Here is a 14688-nt window from a genome sequence, read left to right as displayed (position 1 = left end):
ACTTTAGGAGGCCAAGGTGGGAGGATCGCTTGAGCCCAGGAGTTCAAGGCTGCATTGAGCTATGATCATGCCACTGCACTCCAGCCTGGACAGAGCAAGACCCCCATCTCTAGAAGAAACAAACAAACAAACAAACAAACAAACAAACAAACCCAACAACTGGAGACATCCTCCTCTAGAATGGTGGTCAGGAACATCAGCCTGCCTTGTTCCCTGATGTCTCTCCAGCACCTAGAAGAGCGCTCAGCACGAGGACGCACTCATTAGGGTTTTGTTGAATAAATGACTCCTTTGACACAGCGATTCCACTTCTAAGAATCTTTCCTAAAGAAATATTCACACACGTGCACAGAGCTGTGTGCACAATAATGAGAGGTGCAAACAACTGGGGAACGTTTGCAAAGGTTTATTAACTGTCAGTGACTGATAGAGGGGAATCGGATGAGGGGAGTACATGCTGAACAGGAAACAGAGTGAGGGGGGCTTGACCAGGACACATGGCAGTGGAGAAAAGCAGATGGGAGATGCTTATACTGGTACTTGGTGTGTGTGTGTGCGTGTGTGGTGTGTGTGTAAATGCAGAGGAAAAAATCGGAAATTAAACACTCAGACCTCCCCTCAGTAGTCACATCTGGGGAGAGAGGAGGGTAGTGCTGTTCTATGGAGAGAATACCTGACAATACTTGTTTTCTGAGGTAGGTGCATGGATACACAAGCCGAAATATGCATTAAGCATGTCTTGCTCATCAACGAAAATGCTAATGTCTAACAGAATGGCACACTGCAAGAAAATACAACGGAAACGCCAACATCGAACTCTTGGCACACTAAGAAAAATGACGCTCAACTTTTCACTGTTGTGAACACTTGCTTTCACTTGCTATACACCTGATGACGAGGGGTCCGCAGCCATGCCCACGTTCGTGAAAGGTCACCACGTTCTGCTTCTCATCATGGGCATGTGTCGTATCCCTGAGGCTGAGGCAAGAAGAGAGAAGGAAATAAGTGGCAGTGAGTTCCCACCACGTGGCAACTCAATCTCAACTCCTCCTGACCTGCAGACCCTGCACACTCTGATTCTGCCCTACCTCAGGACCTGCACACGCCTTCCACGGTTCCTCGAAGTGAACCATCTGTTCATGCCACAGTGACTTCCTCGCCTGAGTTATCAATTTCTAGGCTAGAGAAAGGTGTGGCCCGCATATCAGTGCTGACCTGGGGTTTGGGAGCCCACAGCATCCAGGGTAGGGAGGATCCCTGGATATACAGGGCAGGGAGTAGGAAGAGCATGGGAAATCTCATCGTTCAGCCTCAATGCTGTACAGTAGAAAATTATGAGAAGGGAATGATTTGGGGAACAAGTGACAGATGGGATACCAGTACCATAACAGAATAGCACATCTGCAGGGATGTGGAGGGTGAGCCGAAGGTTCACTTATGGAGTTACTTGTCATCTTCCTCAGGGTCGCTGATCTCTTCATAAATCACCAGCTGCTTTCTCTCACGCAGTCTGTGGGTCCAGGCATGTTTCCCCCTTTTGGGTCCTATGATGGAGAAGAGTTGGGAGATGAGGGTTGGGTAGGTTGGAGAGTGTTACGCTCTGTTTTCTCAAAAGCAGGAGATGCCTCCCCCCTCCCAAGTGCCCATGGGCCTTCTTTATCCAGTTTTTCACATTCTCTGGCTTAGAGAGGCTGAGACCTTAAACCCACACCAATACACGACAAATACCAATTAAAGTTTTTAGCTTCTGGCTCCTTCTGTTGTGACGTTTAGATTACCAACCTCTTCACTTACGGGAACATTCACCCTTACCTCCTTTCATTCTGCAAGTATTTGTTAAGGGCACACAGGCATACCTCGTTTTATTGCACCTCATTTTCGTAGTGCTTCGCAGATACTGCATTTTTTTTTAGAAATTCTCACCAATTTTACACTTTTCCATTATTATTATATCTGTTATGGTGATTTGTGATCAGTGAGCTTTGATGTTATTATTGCAATTGTTTTTGTTGTTTTTTAGTCTTTTAAAATAATTTTTGTTCTTTATTTTGTGGGTACGCAGTAGGTGTATATTCTTATGGGGTACATGAGATGCTTTGATACAGTCATGCAAATGCGTAGTAATCACATCGTGGAAAATAGGGTATCCATCCCCTCAAACATTTATCCTTGTGTTACAAACAATCCATTTACACTCTTTTAGTTATTTTTAAATGTATGATTAAGTTATTATTGACTATAGTCACCCTGTTCTGTGTAAATGTTTTGGGGGTACTAAGAACTGCGCCCACAGAAGATGACGAACGTAATCAATTAATGTTGTGTGTGTTCTGACTGCTCCACCGATGAGCTCTTCCCTGCCTCTCTTCCTTTTCTTGGGCCTCCCTATTATTTCCTGAGACACAGCAATACTGAAATTAGGACAATGAACAACCCTACAATGGCCGCTAAGTGTTCAAATGAAAGGAAGAGTCGCATGTCTCTCACTTTAAATCAGAAGCTAGAAATGGCTAGGCTTAGTGAGGAGGCATGCTGAAAGCCAAGACAGGCTGAAAGCTAGGCCTCTTGCACCAGCCAAGCTGTGAATGCAAAGGAAAAGTTCTTGAAGGAAATAATAGTATATACTGCAAAGGAAAAGTTCTTGAAGAAAATAATAATACTAATACTCCAGTGAACACACGAATAAGAAAGCAAAACTGCCTTACTGCTGAAATGAGAAAGTGGTCAGGATAGAAGACGAAACCAGCCACAACATTCCCTTAAGCCAAAGTCTAATTCAGAGCAAGACCCAAACTCTCTTCCAGTCCAGGAAAGCTGAGAGAGGTGAAGAAGCTGCAGAGGAAACGTGTGAAACTAGCAGAGGTTGGTTTGTGAGGTTTAAGGAAAGAAGCTGTCCCCATAACATAAAAGTGCAAGGTGTAGCAGCAAACACTGATGGAGAAGCTGCAGCAAGTTATCCAGAAGATCTAGCTAAAATCACTGATGAAGGTGGCTACACTAAACAACAGATTTTCAATATAGATTAAACAGCCTTCTATTGGAAGCAGATGCCATCTAAAACTTTCATAGCTAGAGAGGACTGACTCCAACTTTGAAAGAAGTTCTACTGTGGGTAAAATGCTATCCAATAGCATCACATACTACAGATAAATCTTTCATGAAAGGGAGAGCTAATCGATGTAATTCATTGTTGTGTTCTTTTAAGAAACTGCCACAGCCACTCCACCCTTCAGCAACCACCACCTTGATCAGCCAGCAGCCATCAACACCGAGGCAAGACCCTCCACCAGTAAAAAGAGTGTGACTCACTGAAGGCTCAGAAGATTGTTAGCATTTTTAAAAAATGAATTATTTTAAAATTAAGGTATGTACTTTTTAGACATAATGCTATTGCACACTTAGTAGACTACACTGTAGTGTAAACATAATGTTTATATGCACTGCAAAACAAACAAAAAACAATGTGTGTGACTCACTTTATTGCAGTGGTCTGGAACCGAACCTGCAATATCTCTGAAGTACACCTGTATTGGGTATCAGGCATTGAGCTGAGTAAGATGTGATCCCAGGTTCCCAGGTTATCACAGATAGAATCGCCTGAGCACCGTTCATGTCATCAGGCCTCCTAGATTAAATTCAATGCCTCCCAACAATCTATGAACTATGATTCTTTATTTCCATCTTATGGACTGGGAATCTGGAGCTGAGAAAATTTGGAAGACTTGCCCCAAGTCACATGGTTTTTTATATGGATGACAACTCCAGTCTGTGTCTCTGGAAGTCATGTGTAACATCTCATCTGGAGCTGGGCGAGCTCCTCAGCCTAGCCTGGACCCAGGCTTGTCTGGGATCCATGCCACACACCCAGTCCACACACCTGAACATAGCCAGGGAAGCCAGAGGGGTTGTTCCCAAATCGTTTCCTCTTACCAGATCTCTCGTGAATCTTCTCAGAGCTACTTGCTTTTCCCGGCGGGCACAGCTTTTTCCCATCGTTCTGTGGGCCAGATGCTTCTGGCACTCCCTTCGAATCACTTCCTTCCTCTGCTGGCTTCTCGGGCATGATCTTTATAATATGAAGGTCACAGATAAACAGTATCAGTGACATTTCTATAGTGCTTTAGAGCTTACAAAGTGTCTTCACATGCATTACCTTAATCAATGTTCTCAACAACGCTGGGAGAGTCACATGTGCCTAAATTAGGAGAAACCTGGGAGGTTAGAAGCGAAAGGAATGGCCTAAATGAATGGGGTTTCCAGGGCTAGAATGCTTATCTTCACACTCTTTTAAGATTCGTGCAAACAGCAGAAATCTCCCTGTAATTGAGAGTGTGGTATACAGAAGTTTTGGAGAATAGCATTCTAAGAATTCACAAGGTCTATAAAAGGAAAAGCTTCTATAAAATACGAGGGATCCCAATATAAGCTTGTAGACAGCTGCTGGGAGAGTAAATGTAAAGACATAGAGAGGGGACAAAACACTGCTGGGAAAGATGGTGTGGGGAGATGAATACAGGGAAGAGAGAGGGAAAGAAATGGTTTGCTGAAATTAATCTAGACATCAAAGAAAGCAGTACCAGATATGACATACCACCCTACCGAGGCACCGACATTGAATGTGGAATTCAGTGAGGTGGTGCCCATAACAATTCTGGTTGCATTGGGATGTGTCACTGACCAACAATCTTAAGCTACCCTTTTTTGTTTTTGTTTTTGTTTTGTTTTGTTTTTTATTGATCATTCTTGGGTGTTTCTTGCAGAGGGGGATTTGGCAGGGTCATAGGACAATAGTGGAGGGAAGGTCAGCAGATAAACAAGTGAACAAGGGTCTCTGGTTTTCCTAGGCAGAGGACCCTGTGGCCTTCCGCAGTGTTTGTGTCCCTGATTACTTGAGATTAGGGATTGGTGATGACTCTTAACGAGCATGCTGCCTTCAAGCATCTGTTTAACAAAGCACATCTTGCACCGCCCTTAATCCATTTAACCCTGAGTGGACACAGCACATGTTTCAGAGAGCACAGGGTTGGGGATAAGGTCATAGATCAACAGGATCCCAAGGCAGAAGAATTTTTCTTAGTACAGAACAAAATGAAAAGTCTCCCATGTCTACTTCTTTCTACACAGACACAGCAACCATCCGATTTCTCAATCTTTTCCCCACCTTTCCCCCTTTTCTATTCCACAAAACTGCCATTGTCATCATGGCCGGTTCTCAATGAGCTGTTGGGTACACCTCCCAGACGGGGTGGTGGCCGGGCAGAGGGGCTCCTCACTTCCCAGTAGGGGCAGCCGGGCAGAGGCGCCCCTCACCTCCCGGACGGGGGGGCTGGCCGGGCGGGGGGCTGACCCCCCCACCTCCCTCCCGGACGGGGCAGCTGGCCGGGCAGAGGGGCTCCTCACTTCCCAGTAGGGGCAGCCGGGCAGAGGCGCCCCTCACCTCCCGGACGGGGTGGCTGGCCGGGCGGGGGGCTGACCTCCCCACCTCCCTCCCGGACGGGGCAGCTGGCCAGGCAGAGGGGCTCCTCACTTCCCAGTAGGGGCGGCCGGGCAGAGGAGCCCCTCACCTCCCGGACGGGGCGGCTGGCCGGGTGGGGGGCTGACCCCCCCACCTCCCTCCTGGACGGGGCGGCTGCCGGGCGGAGGGGCTCCTCACTTCTCAGACGGGGCAGTTGCCAGGCGGAGGGTCTCCTCACTTCTCAGACGGGGCGGCCGGGCAGAGACGCTCCTCACCTCCCAGACTGGGTCGCGGCCGGGCAGAGGTGCTCCACACATCCCAGACGGGGCGGCGGGGCAGAGGCGCTCCCCACATCTCAGATGATGGGCGGCGGGGCAGAGACGCTCCTCACTTCCTAGATGGGATGGCGGCCAGGAAGAGGCGCTCCTCACTTCCCAGGTGGGATGGCGGCCGGGCAGAGACGCTCCTCACTTTCCAGACTGGGCAGCCAGGCAGAGGGGCTCCTCACATCCCAGACGATGGGCGGCCAGGCAGAGACGCTCCTCACTTCCCAGACGGGGTGGCGGCAGGGCAGAGGCTGCAATCTCGGCACTTTGGGAGGCCAAGGCAGGCGGCTGGGAGGTGGAGGTTGTAGCGAGCCGAGATCACGCCACTGCACTCCAGCCTGGGCACCATTGAGCACTGAGTGAACGAGACTCCGTCTGCAATCCCGGCACCTCGGGAGGCCGAGGCTGGCGGATCACTGGCGGTTAGGAGCTGGAGACCTGCCCGGCCAACACAGCGAAACCCCGTCTCCACCAAAAAAATACGAAAACCAGTCAGGCGTGGCGGCACGCGCCTGCAATCGCAGGCACTCGGCAGGCTGAGGCAGGAGAATCAGGCAGGGAGGTTGCAGTGAGCCGAGATGGCAGCAGCACAGTCCAGCTTCGGCTCGGCATCAGAGGGAGACCGTGGAAAGAGAGGGAGAGGGAGACCCTGGGGAGAGGTAGAGGGAGAGCTGATTGCCACATTTTTATAAATTGAACTGGGCCAGGCTGGTGGGCTTGTTTTTTTTTTTTGAGACAGCGTCTCACTCTGTCGCCAGGCTAGAGTGCAGTGGCGTGACCTCTGCTCACTGCAATCTCCCCCTCCCCGGTTCAAGCGATTCCCCTGCCTCAGCCTCCCGAGTAGCTGGGACTATAGGCAGGCACTACCACGCCCCACTAAGTTTTGTATGTTTAGTAGAGACGAGGTTTCACCACGTTGGCCAGGATGGTCTCGATCTCTTGACCTCGTGATCTGCCTGCCTTGGCCTCCCAAAGTGCTGGGATTACACTCGTGAGCCACCGCACCGGGCCCTTAAGGTACTTTTTACTCAGCTTCCTCACTTATGAAATAGTGAAAAATATGTGTAAAATAGGCTAAGGGAAATTCCTCTCTGAGCTTGTAAACACTGTTTAAATGTAATAATAATAACAATTAATACCTTTCTGGATCCTGCTTTGAATTCGGTCTCCACACTGGCAACCCAGCTCCCAGATCCCTTTACCATCTAAACCAGAGTTGAATCTGCAATTGTGGGGTCACTCATTCAGGGGCCTCCGATGGATCCCCTGGGCTGGGACTGGGGTTTCCCGGATGCCCCAGGTGCAGACAAGGCCCTCAAGGAGCTCACAGTATGGAGGGGCCAACAGTCAAAGCGATTCCTAAGCCATGCGAGTGGCCCCGGTAACAGAGCAGAGGCCAGCTGGTCCTTCCTGTTGTGAGAGTGGGTGTCTCAACGGAAGCACCAGGAGGCCCTATGGGGTGAAGCCCTAGTGAGCAACATCTGAACTTCATAAACAAATGCAGACGTGAATGAGCTTTAAATGGCTTGGAGCTCTGGATTAGACTACCACTGACACTGCGCCTCAGGAAAATTCTTTAACATCTCTGTACCACGATAGCCTCATTTTATTATTATGTTGCTGATAACTATGATCTAAAACATGAACTATGATTCTTTACTTCCATTTCATGGACCAGGAATCTGGAGCTCAGAGAACTTAGAAGATTTGCGCCAAGTCACATGGCTTTCATATGGATGACAACCAAAGTGTGTGACTTGTTATTCTTTGGAGATAATAACAGAAACAATGTCATAGAGGTCTTCTTATGGATTAAATTAATTAATCCATCTGAACTGCTTAAAATAGTATCTGGCATCACTATGAAAACAAAAGAAGTATTAAGGATCACAACTGTTAGTATTATCAAGCCATTGATGCCACATCTGGTGTTGTGATAGACATGGGGAGAAGGAGGCAATGAGGACATTTTTGATATTCTCCCGCTCTTACCAGTGTTCACATCCGTGGAGGGACAAAGGTTCTCTGGTCCTGTAGATTTGAGAGATACTCACCTTCGGGATGATTCTCTGGAGCCTGCCAAAAGTCATCTGAGGACGTTCAACTGAAAGAGAATACATTAGAATTTTTCTTTGTTGGTAAAGATTCCCAAACTCTAGACAGACTTCTGTCGCATCAGGGCATTCTGCAGCAGAGGTTTATGAGTCTACTGATTCTTGAGGAGTTATTTGAGATTTGCTTCTGAATTATGTTTAGTCATGGTTGGTTCACTTATCTGTGGCATCAATTCAGAATTTTCCATCTCATAGTTTATCAAATGGGGGTTAAACCCCATCACAGTCTCATCTTATTCCATTACATATCTTTTACTTTTTCCCAAATAATTAAATTGATTGGTTGGGAATCTGAACTGTATCCACTCAAACTAAAAATCACTGTACACTTCAAATGGGTGGATCTTATGGTATGTCAATTAAGCTGTTAAATGTGTGATGAACCATGGATGACTTAGTCCGGTGGCTCTGAAACATTTTCAGTATAAAGACACTCCTTTAAAGTCAAAAGCTTGGCAGATACTCAAGCACTGGATTTTCAGACCTCTTGTAGTGATTGTGGGAGATTGTAGAATCTGGCCTGTCTGTTGGGGAGTAACAGGTCTATTGGAGACAGTTTGGACATTCTGACCTTGTCTTATGATTGTATTGTCAGAGCAGAAGAGCCAGGAAACACATATGACCCCTTTATATTCCTGAACTGCACAAAGCTCTCTACCCAAGAACCTGTCTTTTTTTTCACCCTGTGTTATCTCTGCTCACTGACAAGTGGGAAAGCTCTCTGTGTGTTGGATGAGGGATCACTCTTTCAAACTCACTTCCAAGCTCATCACGGAGAATCGGGGTTGTTTGGGAATGAGAAGACTATTTGGTTTTAATAAAATACAGAGAAACAGCGATCTTTATTACATAATGTGTGCATCACCCTCTCTCTTAAGATATTTATCCAATATCTACATGCTGTTAATGAAACAAACTCTGGAAGTTTTTGGCGGCTCTACACTTTTAACATTTTCTTTCTGTTTTTCACTTTTAACATTTTCTTAACTGTCCTTTGATTCATTAGCAGTGTTTAGCAAGAACAACATGTCCTTTAAAAAAGAAATATTTCAAACACACACAAAAGTATGGGGAATAATATTGAGTTCAGTTGCATCTCAACATTACCCCATGACTATGTTAGATCTGATTTATTTATTCAGAATGTTAGAAACACTATAAACGGGCCGGGTGCGGTAGCTCACACCTGTAATCCCAGCACTTTGGGAGGCTGAGTGGGTGGAACACCTGAGGTCAGGAGTTTGAGAACAGCCTGGCCAACATGGTGAAACCCCGTCTCTACTAAAAATACAAAAATTAGGTGGGCATGGTGGCGGGCGCCTGTAATCCTATCTACTCAGGAGGCTGAGGCAGGAGAATCGCTTGAACCCAGGAGGCAGAGGCTGTAGTGGGCTGAGACTGTGCCATTGCACTCCAGCCTGGGAGACAAGAGCAAATCTCCAGTTCAAAACAAAAACAAAAACAAAACAAAACAAAACACACTATCAACAAGTCATGACTGAAGCTGCCTGTGCAGCACTCACCAATCCCTGCCCCTGCTCCTTCTCCATTTACAGCCAGTCTCCTCAATTTGATGGCTTTTTATTCACATTCATGTTTTCATGCATTTACCATTTACTAATTATCCATAAAAATATATATTCTTGTTTTGCATGTTTTAAAATTTTATATGAATGGCCTCTGTAGTTAACTTTCCGCCTGCAATTTTTTTTCACTCAGCCCTGATGTGTATGAGAGAACAAATGCCTGAGGATCTTTCCCAGGTAGCTGAGCTGAAAAGCAGTTGGGCTTGAGGAGACCCTTTCCAGTCCCTTCCCATCTACTCACCCTCATTCCCACGGTTACGGTCATTATCAGAATCATTCCTCTGAGAGTCTGTGGCCCGTTTATTACGCATGAAAAGTGAGAGGGTGACGTTGAAACCTAGAAAGAAGCAAAATGTTTATTCCTTAAGGGACAAACTTAGGCCTGGCACGGTGGCTCATGTCTGTCGTACCAGCACTTTGGGAGGCTGAGGCGGGAGGATTGCTTGAGGCCAGGAGTTCAGGAAGAGCCTGGGTAACACAGAGAGACCCCCATATCTACAAAATATAAAATAAAATTAGTTGGGCATGGTGGCATGTGCCTGTAGCCTCAGCTACTCCATAGGCTGAGCAGGAGGATTGCTTGAGCCCAGGAGTTCGAGGCTGCATTGAGCTATGGTTGCACTACTGGACTCTAGCCTAGGTGACAGAGTGAGACTCTGACTCAAAAAGAGAGAGAGAGAGAGACGGAGAGGGACAAGACCAGAGGAGGAAGGTAGGGTGGGAGGTGTGCTGTGATGCCACAGAGACAGCTGGGCTCATCAGAACAGACACCTATGGGAAAGAAACGTGCAGGATCCAGGTACGAGCTCCACTGTGGCCAGTCCCTGCCCTCAGCCCTGACAGGATACAGAAGAGCAGAACACCCAGGAGCTGCCTTGCCATTTTTCCCTGCACAAAAGGAAAACGTGGGGTACTTTCTGCAGTCTAAGAAGTAGCCTAGGCAGGAAAAGGGATGCTCATGTGTCCCCAGACTTGTCTGTTCCTAGAACTTTCTGTTACCTAGTTTAGTCATGGCCTCATACTTTCTCTTCATATGCACACAGCTGATTTTCTCCGAGAATTTCATCTTTTCCCACTCTTCCTTAGAGAAGTATTTGGCAATATCATCGAAGGCCTAGGAAAAAAGAAAGAAATTCTGGCAGTGACTCAACTAGGCATGTCTGCCATTCAGCTGGAGCCGCTTCCTGTGTGCTGGATCTGGGAATTGGGGATGATAATCCGTCCTGGTTGATGCCATGGCTAACTGACAGAACATGGGGACCTTCCCTAGCTTCTCCCCTGCCACACAGTAGGGCTTCAGTGATGCTGGCTGGCTCTCTTCCCACCTTCCAGAATGGAGTGAGAGTTACCAAATGTAGAGCAAGGTCACAGACTTGTCTCCAGGGATGGTAGGTGATGACAGAGCGAGGGTGGGAGGCTCTCAAGGGTCCAGATCTCCCCCGAGACCCTGGTCCTTGTCCCCAGTACCTCTGTCCTCCCCTCCTCAGAAACCTGGTCACCCTACTCTGTCCCCTGGACCACTGCTCTGCCCCCTCCAGGTCACCTCACCTTGCTTCTCTTCTCTGATGCTTTAGCATCATCCCTGGGTCTCTTTGCAAAGGCGTCGTCTCCGTTCATGGCACCAGGAGCACTCTGACCTGCAAGAGAAACAGCCTGAGTCTTTCCAGTCCTGCGGAGGGAGAAATCTGTGAAGGCCGGCCACACTCAGTCACCTGGAATCAGGTGTTGCATTTCTGCATCCGGGACTTATCTGCCCGTGAGTAAGGACATGGGGAGAAGTCAGATGAAAACAGGGAGCCAGGGGTCTCTGGGAGAAGTATTGATTGGGGATGACAAGTTTCCTATGGACATAGCAGCCTTGAGTCTTTGGGAGGGGGTTGGCTAATGTTGTTAGCAGTTTCCCTGGAGCCAGGCTTACCCTGAAAGACGTACAGACCCTTGTTGGGGAGGCAGGGACATGACTGTGTAATTTTATTGAGTGGGGGCGTTCTGACACCACCACTCAATAAATTAAGGAAGGGAAGTGAGTCCCAGAGATAACATGGTCTCTCTGGTGATGGATCTGATCAGGCAGAGGGATGGGGGGTTCTGTTCTGTTGATGAGAAATGAGCATGGCCAATATGAACGGATTTAGAGGCTATTACTGGGTTATTTGTAAATCATTAGAAGGAAGAGAGCTAGAATCTCCAAGACTACAAGAGCCCGCCATCACTTAGAGAGAATGTGGGGCATTTCAAGTTGCAGCAATCGGCCAGGCGTGGTGGCTCATGCCTGTAATCCCAGCATTTTGGGGGGCCGAGGCGTGCAGATCGCTTGAGCCCAGGAGGTCGAGACCAGCCTGGGAAACATAGCAAAACCCCCATCTCTACAAAAAAAAAAAAAAAAAAACCCAAAAAAAATTAGCTGGGGGTGGTGGCACAGGCCTGTAACATCTCAGCACTTTGGCAGGCCAAGGGAGGGGCGGATCGCTTGAGCCCACGAGGTCGATACCAGCCTAGCCAACCTAGTGAAACCCTCCACTAAAAAATAAATAAATAAATAAATAAAAAATATTAGTCGGGGCAGGGTGGTGCGCTCCTGTAGTCCCAAGGCCGAGGCAAGAGGATCTCTTGAGCCCAGGAGGTCCAGGCCAGCCTGGCCAACATAGCAAAACCCCATTTCTACTAACAACAATAACAACAAAAAAATAGCACGGGCAAGGTGGCTCCTGCCTATAGTTCTAAGGCCGAGGTGGGAGGATTGCTTGAGCCCAGGAGGTCAACACCAGCCCAGCCAACATAGTAAAGCCCCGTCTCTACTAAAAACAACAACAACAACAAACAAACAAACAAAAAACAAACAAACAAACAAAAAACTAGCAGGGGTGGAATGGCACACACTTGTAGTCCTGAGGCCAAGGTGGGAGGATCGCTTGAGCCCAGGAGGTTGAGGCCAGCCTGGCCAACGTAGTGAAACCCGGCTTCTAATAATTAAAAAAAAAAAAAAAAAAAAAAAGCGTGGGCAGGTTGGTGCACTTCTGTAGTCCCAGGGCCGAGGCGGAAGGATTGCTTAAGCCCAGGTGGTCGAGGCCAGCCTGGCCAACATAGCAAAACCGTCTGTACTAAAAAAATAAAAAATAAAAAATATTAGTGGGGGCAGGGTGGTGCGTGCCTGTAGTCCTGAGGCCGAGGCGGGAGGATTGCTTGAGCCCAGGCGGTTGAGGCCAGCCTGGTCAACATGGCAGAACTGTCTCTACTAAGAAAAATAAAAAATAAAAAATATTAGTGAGGGCAGGGTGGTGCGTGCCTGTACTCCCGAGGTCGAGGCGGGAGGATTGCTTGAGCCCCCCGTCTCTACTAAAATACAAAAATAAAAAAATATTTCCAGGGGTTGGATGACACAGGCCTGTAGACCCGAGGCCGAGGTGGGAGGATCCTCCATGATGATCCTCCTGAAAGGCATTAGCTGTCTTTCAGTCCTCAAGATTTTCAGAACCCCGAGCACTCGAGGGCCCTACAGAGGCTTCCTCCTTTTCTATCTGCCCCCATTAGCCCATCTAGGGTGTCCCTTCAAGAGAACCTACCTCAGAGACAAAGCAGTGGTGGCGAGGTCGGCAGCAGTTGGTGACAAAGTGTGGTTGGAGGAGGAGAAAATATTCTGCAATGTCACTGCCCCAGGATGATGGACCAATCAGGGCAGTTAGTGAACTCCATTTGGCCAATCAGAAGTCAGAACAGTAGGTGGGAGGAGCGAAGGTGATGTGGGGTCTATCAGTTGAGGCTCCAGGGACACAACCTTCTCAAAGTGGGGGCGGAGACTCTGATTTTCCCGCCTAAAGCATCCCCTGGGATTGGCTACTCCAAGTTCAGAGTATGCATGCTCTGATATTCTCTTTAGATTCTTCCAAAATCAGAGTACTCATGTGCTGATTTTCTCTTTCCATTTTTTTCCTATCCCTCCCTACCCCCCCGCGGTGCATTTGTTATCCAGTTTTAATAAGTAGTGTATATGAAGCAGGTCGTCATCTCAAATCCTTCCTGTCAGTTTCTAACTTTTTCAGGTATGGGATTTTTCCTAGGAACTCTGTAGTAACGTCAGAAATTTGGGCCGGGCACGGTGGCTCATGCTTGTAGTCCCAGCACATTGGGAGGCCACAGCTGGTGGATCGTTTGAACCCGGGAGGCAGAGGTTGCAGTGAGCCACAATCACGCCACTGCACCCCAGCCTGGACAACAGAGCGATACCCTGTCCCTTATCTCTACAAAAAATAAATAAAATTAGCGAGGTGGGGTGGTGTGCCTGTAGTCCCAGTTACTCAGGAGGCTGAGGATCACTTGAGCCCAGGAGTACGAGGTTGCAGTGACCATGATCCAGCCACTGCTGCCTACCTCGGCCACAGAGCGAGATCTTGTCAGAAAAAAAAAAAAAGAGAAAGAAAGAAAAATTTCAATGAGCCAGTCCCAGTGGCTCATGCCTGTAATCCCAACACCTTGAGAGGCTGAGGCAGGAGGTGGAAGGATCACTTGAGGATAGGAGTTCCAGAACAATCTGGGATGCATAGTGAGACCCCCATCTCTATAAAAAAAATTTAAAAAAGAAATTCAAACTAAAAAAAAAAAAAACTTCTATATATGTTTTTTTCTAGAAGACCAAAGAACCAGAAATATATTTTACCCATTGATATTAATAATGTTTATCGTAATAGTATTAAAAAGAGTATGTAATTCAGGCCCACTGTGTTCATCAGGGAGCTCATAAGTCAATTTGTCCAAGAAGTTTCCCCTACCCCCATCCCTAGTATCTCCAACATGACCCCGTTCCTCTCTGGGCTTTCCATCTACAGCCCTGATCTCTCTAAGATCCTCCCAGGATGACAGCAAGCTCTCTTAGGGCAGGGACAGGGCAATGGCCCTTTAGTCCAGCACAAAGCCCTTTATGTGCATCTTCCGATTAGTTTTCACAACCTTCTCTGGAGTTAAATACTATTATCATCCCCAGTGCGCAGATGTTGAGACTGAGGCTCAGAGAATTAAGCAGTCTGCTCGAGGTCACATAGTCAGTGGGTGACAGAGCTGGGATTCACCCCCAAGATGAATTGAGTCCAAAGTCTGTGCTTTTATTTATGTATTTATTTATTTTTAATTAAAATAATTTTTTAAGAGATGGGGTCTTGCTATGTTGTCCCCGCTGATCTGGAAGGAACTGCTGGCCTCAAGCAATCCTCCTG

General features: G+C 47.5%; 1 pseudogene across 1 annotated transcript; it reads right to left on the bottom strand.

Annotated features, from left to right (window-relative positions):
* Positions 1-391: 391 nt before the first annotated feature.
* SSX6P (SSX family member 6, pseudogene) lies at positions 392-13096 on the bottom strand (annotated as a pseudogene). The gene is made up of 8 exons (NR_028366.1): positions 13045-13096; positions 11030-11118; positions 10481-10595; positions 9723-9818; positions 7836-7885; positions 3931-4066; positions 1384-1544; positions 392-978 (listed from the first exon to the last, which is right to left on the bottom strand). The product of NR_028366.1 is annotated as an SSX family member 6, pseudogene (transcript).
* Between the last annotated feature and the right edge of the window lie 1592 nt (positions 13097-14688).

This window comes from Homo sapiens, chromosome X (assembly GCF_000001405.40).
Source record: "Homo sapiens chromosome X, GRCh38.p14 Primary Assembly".
Taxonomy (NCBI): domain Eukaryota; kingdom Metazoa; phylum Chordata; class Mammalia; order Primates; family Hominidae; genus Homo; species Homo sapiens.
This window is presented reverse-complemented; position numbering and strand designations above follow the sequence as displayed.